The 5681-nt window shown below is 40.6% G+C and overlaps 2 annotated features.

Moving 5' to 3' along the window:
- Window positions 3495-4009: an enhancer, noted in NCBI's record as "OCT4-NANOG-H3K27ac-H3K4me1 hESC enhancer chr1:82601932-82602446 (GRCh37/hg19 assembly coordinates)". NCBI's record gives its function as "activates a minimal SCP1, AML or CMV promoter by ChIP-STARR-seq in naive and primed H9 embryonic stem cells {active_cell/tissue: H9 hESC(naive and primed)}" and the evidence as "EXISTENCE:reporter gene assay evidence [ECO:0000049][PMID:30033119]".
- Window positions 4010-4523: an enhancer, noted in NCBI's record as "OCT4-NANOG-H3K27ac-H3K4me1 hESC enhancer chr1:82602447-82602960 (GRCh37/hg19 assembly coordinates)". NCBI's record gives its function as "activates a minimal SCP1, AML or CMV promoter by ChIP-STARR-seq in primed H9 embryonic stem cells {active_cell/tissue: H9 hESC(primed)}" and the evidence as "EXISTENCE:reporter gene assay evidence [ECO:0000049][PMID:30033119]".

Genomic DNA, 5681 nt, shown 5'->3' on the forward strand with positions numbered 1-5681 from the left:
ATTGATTTTGTATCCTGAGACTTTGCTGAAGGTGCTTATCAGCTTAAGGAGATTTTGGGCTGAGACAATGGGGTTTTCTAGATATACAACCATGTCATCTGCAAACAGGGACAATTTGACTTCCTCTTTTCCTAATTGAATACCCTTTATTTCCTTCTCCTGCCTAATTGCCCTGGCCAGAACTTCCAACACTATGTTGAATAGGAGTGGTGAGAGAGGGCATCCCTGTCTTGTGCCAGTTTTCAAAGGGAATGCTTCCAGTTTTTGCCCATTCAGTATGATATTGGCTGTGGGTTTGTCATAGATAGCTCTTATTATTTTGAAATACGTCCCATCAATACGTAATTTATTGAGAGTTTTTAGCATGAAGGGTTGTTGAATTTTGTCAAAGTCTTTTTCTGCATCTATTGAGATAATCATGTGGTTTTTGTCTTTGGCTCTGTTTATAAGCTGGATTACATTTATTGATTTGCGTATATTGAACCAGCCTTGCATCCCAGGGATGAAGCCCACTTGATCATGGTGGGTAAGCTTTTTGATGTGCTGCTGGATTCGGTTTGCCAGTATTTTATTGAGGATTTTTGCATCAATGTTCATCAAGGATATTGGTCTAAAATTCTCTTTTTTGGTTGTGTCTCTGCCCGGCTTTGGTATCAGAATGATGCTGGCCTCATAAAATGAGTTAGGGAGGATTCCCTCTTTTTCTATTGATTGGAATAGTTTCAGAAGGAATGGTACCAGTTCCTCCTTGTAGAGGAGCCTGGTAGAATTCGGCTGTGAATCCATCTGGTCCTGGACTCTTTTTGGTTGGTAAGCTATTGATTATTGCCACAATTTCAGATCCTGTTATTGGTCTATTCAGAGATTCAACTTCTTCCTGGTTTAGTCTTGGGAGGGTGTATGTGTTGAGGAATTTATCCATTTCTTCTAGATTTTCTAGTTTATTTGCGTAGAGGCGTTTGTAGTATTCTCTGATGGTAGTTTGTATTTCTGTGGGATCGGTGGTGATATCCCCTTTATCATTTTTTATTGTGTCTATTTGATTCTTCTCTCTTTTTTTCTTTATTAGTCTTGCTAGCGGTCTATCAATTTTGTTGATCCTTTCAAAAAACCAGCTCCTGGATTCATTAATTTTCTGGAGGGTTTTTTGTGTCTCTATTTCCTTCAGTTCTGCTCTGATTTTAGTTATTTCTTGCCTTCTGCTAGCTTTTGAATGTGTTTTCTCTTGCTTTTCTAGATCTTTTAATTGTGATGTTAGGGTGTCAATTTTGGATCTTTCCTGCTTTCTCTTGTGGACATTTAGTGCTATAAATTTCCCTCTACACACTGCTTTGAATGCGTCCCAGAGATTCTGGTATGTTGTGTCTTTGTTCTCGTTGGTTTCAAAGAACATCTTTATTTCTGCCTTCATTTCGTTATGCACCCAGTAGTCATTCAGGAGCATGTTGTTCAGTTTCCATGTAGTTGAGTGGTTTTGAGTGAGATTCTTAATCCTGAGTTCTAGTTTGATTGCACTGTGGTCTGAGAGATAGTTTGTTATAATTTCTGTTATTTTACATTTGCTGAGGAGAGCTTTACTTCCAAGTATGTGGTCAATTTTGGAATAGGTATGGTGTGGTGCTGAAAAAAATGTATATTCTGTTGATTTGGGGTGGAGAGTTCTGTAGATGTCTATTAGGTCCGCTTGGTGCAGAGCTGAGTTCAATTCCTGGGTATCCTTGTTGACTTTCTGTCTCCTTGATCTGTCTAATGTTGACAGTGGGGTGTTAAAGTCTCCCATTATTAATGTGTGGGAGTCTAAGTCTCTTTGTAGGTCACTCAGGACTTGCTTTATGAATCTGGGTGCTCCTGTATTGGGTGCATATATATTTAGGATAGTTAGCTCTTCTTGTTGAATTGATCCCTTTACCATTATGTAATGGCCTTCTTTGTCTCTTTTGATCTTTGTTGGTTTAAAGTCTGTTTTATCCGAGACTAGGATTGCAACCTCTGCCTTTTTTTGTTTTCCATTTGCTTGGTAGATCTTCCTCTATCCTTTTATTTTGAGCCTATGTGTGTCTCTGCACGTGAGATGGGTTTCCTGAATACAGCACACTGATGGGTCTTGACTCTTTATCCAATTTGCCAGTCTGTGTCTTTTAATTGGAGCATTTAGTCCATTTACATTTAAAGTTAATATTGTTATGTGTGAATTTGATCCTGTCATTATGATGTTAGCTGGTTATTTTGCTCGTTAGTTGATGCAGTTTCTTCCTAGTCTCGATGGTCTTTACATTTTGGCATGATTTTGCAGCGGCTGGTACCGGTTGTTCCTTTCCATATTTTGTGCTTCCTTCAGGAGCTCTTTTAGGGCAGGCCTGGTGGTGACAAAATCTCTCAGCATTTGCTTGTCTGTAAAGTATTTTATTTCTCCTTCACTTATGAAGCTTAGTTTGGCTGGATATGAAATTCTGGGTTGAAAATTATTTTCTTTAAGAATGTTGAATATTGGCCCCCCCCCCTCTTCTGGCTTGTAGGGTTTCTGCCGAGAGATCCACTGTTAGTCTGATGGGCTTCCCTTTGAGGGTAACCCGACCTTTCTCTCTGGCTGCCCTTAACATTTTTTCCTTCATTTCAACTTTGGTGAATCTGACAATTATGTGTCTTGGAGTTGCTCTTCTCGAGGAGTATCTTTGTGGCGTTCTCTGTATTTCCTGAATCTGAATGTTGGCTTGCCTTGCTAGATTGGGGAAGTTCTCCTGGACAACATTCTGCAGCATGCTTTCCAAGTTGGTTCCATTCTCCCCTTCACTTTCAGGTACACCAATCAGATGTAGATTTGGTCTTTTCACATAGTCCCATATTTCTTGGAGGCTTTGCTCATTTCTTTTTATTCTTTTTTCTCTAAATTTCCCTTCTCGCTTCATTTCATTCATTTCATCTTCCATTGCTGATACCCTTTCTTCCAGTTGATCGCATCGGCTCCTGAGGCTTCTGCATTCTTCACATAGTTCTCGAGCCTTGGTTTTCAGTTCCATCAGCTCCTTTAAGCACTTCTCTGTATTGGTTATTCTAGTTATACATTCTTCTAAATTTTTTTCAAAGTTTTCAACTTCTTTGCCTTTGGTTTGAATGTCCTCCCGTAGCTCAAGAGTAATTTGATCGTCTGAAGCCTTCTTCTCTCAGCTCGTCAAAGTCATTCTCCATCCAGCTTTGTTCCGTCGCTGGTGAGGAACTGCGTTCCTTTGGAGGAGGAGAGGCGCTCTGGTTTTTAGTTTCCAGTTTTTCTGTTCAGTTTTTTCCCCATCTTTGTGGTTTTGTCTACTTTTGGTCTTTGATGATGGTGATGTACAGATGGGTTTTTGGTGTGGATGTCCTTTCTGTTTGTTAGTTTTCCTTCTAACAGACAGGACCCTCAGCTGCAGGTCTGTTGGAATACCCTGCCGTGTGAGGTGTCAGTGTGCCCCTGCTGGGGGGTGCCTCCCAGTTAGGCGGCTCGGGGGTCAGGGGTCAGGGACCCACTTGAGGAGGCAGTCTGCCCGTTCTCAGATCTCCAGCTGCGTGCTGGGAGAACCACTGCTCTCTTCAAAGCTGTCAGACAGGGATGTTTAAGTCTGCAGAAGTTACTGCTGTCTTTTTGTTTGTCTGTGCCCTGCCCCCAGAGGTGGAGCCTACAGAGGCAGGCAGGCCTCCTTGAGCTGTGGTGGGCTCCACCCAGTTCGAGCTTCCAGGCTGCTTTGTTTACCTAATCAAGCCTGGGCAATGGCGGGCGCCCCTCCCCCAGCCTCGTTGCCTCCTTGCAGTTTGATCTCAGACTGCTGTGCTAGCAATCAGCGAGACTCCGGGGGCGTAGGAACCTCCGAGCCAGGTGCGGGGTATAATCTCGTGGTGCGCCGTTTTTTAAGCCCGTCGGAAAAGCGCAGTATTCGGGTGGGAGTGACCCGATTTTCCAGGTGCTGTCCGTCACCCCTTTCTTTGACTCGGAAAGGGAAGTCCCTGACCCCTTGCGCTTCCCAAGTGAGGCAATGCCTCGCCCTGCTTCGGCTCGCGCACGGTGCGCGCACCCACTGACCTGGGCCCACTGTCTGGCACTCCCTAGTGAGATGGACCCGGTACCTCAGATGGAAATGCAGAAATCACCCGTCTTCTGCGTCGCTCCGAAAGGTAGTTTTATTATTTAACCTAAAGAGTGAAAATATTTTTCTAGTGGTTGAATAATCATATCAGAATGTACTTGTTACAATATAAAGATTTACAACCCACCCATTTTTACTCTATCTCAAAAAAAGAAAAAAAATCTTTAAAATATAGGAAGATGGCCAAAGATTTACTACATATTTCCAACAATATTTGTTAAAAACGTGGTGTCTTTTTTACTGAGAGGATTTTCTTCAGTATGATTAATGAATCACATATCAGAAAGCTGGATTTAAATTCCACCTTAGTTTGGGCAGCTATAACAAAATACCTTAGCCCAGGTAATTTATAAACAACAGACATTTGTTGTTTCTCATAATTCGAGAGGCTGGCAAGTTCACGAGTAAAGCGTCAGCAGATTTGGTGTCTGCTGATAGCCTGCTCTCTGCTTCAAAGATGGCGTCTTGTTGTCTTCACATGGTACAAGACCCAAACAAGTTCCCCTAGACCACTTATAAGGGCACTAATTCCATTCCTGTAGGTGGGGCCCTCACTACCTAATCACCTTCCAAAGTTCTACCTCTTAATATTACTACATTGAGGATTAAGTTTCAACATACAAATTTTGGGGGAACACAAAGGTTCAGACTACGGCATATCTGTAAACAAGAATTTTTACATTTTATTCTTTTCTGCCAGGAGCCAGTACAGCTAATACTTTTACAAAGAAAATTCTATGTGCATAATATTTTTTACTATGTTTCTCTGAAATAGAAATATAAACTAAAAGATGTATAATGAACTTTCTAATTATTTTTCCTGTTTATGGACATTGGAAGTCACAAATATGTAGAAATATTTGTATGCTAATTAGTGAAATAGATTACTCAGAATGTATCTTCCGTGTCCTATTCTGGAGGATTTTGAAGACTGGTATAGAAATTTAATAAATGTTAGTCTACATCTAGTTTCACAAGGTATGAAAACTTGTCTTAATATTACAGGACATAATAAACAATCTCTTACTCTCCTCTGGCCCCTAGCTCTATTTGAAACCAAATCATTCATTCATTTAGAGGTAATATTGTGTGTTATTAGGAGCTTGGGCTCTGGAGCTAGAATACCTGAGTTTACATCTGGCTCTGCTATTTACTGACTATGGGACCTAAGGCATTTCAGTTTCTCTCTTTTCTCAGTCCTTTCAGCTTTCAAACTGAGGCCTATTATAATAGTATCTACATTACATAGTTTTGTGTAGAGCACAGTTTAGGGCCTGGTACACAGTAAAGAGCCAATAAATCATACCTATTTGATATATTTTTATTGATAATCTGCTATAATAAAAACTATAATACATTAAATTCACTATATGTCAGACTATGTAGTCAACATCAAGTTATCTCATTAAATTCTAACAACTCCTCTGTGAAGTAGGTATTATTATGTTATTGGCACAGATGAAGTAAAAAACTCTGAGAGATTAAGTGACTTGCCCAAAGTCACAGAGTTAGCAAATGGTAAAGCCAGGATTTAAAACCATGTCCACTAAATTTCGAAGAATTGTG

This window comes from Homo sapiens, chromosome 1 (assembly GCF_000001405.40).
Source record: "Homo sapiens chromosome 1, GRCh38.p14 Primary Assembly".
Taxonomy (NCBI): Eukaryota; Metazoa; Chordata; class Mammalia; order Primates; family Hominidae; genus Homo; species Homo sapiens.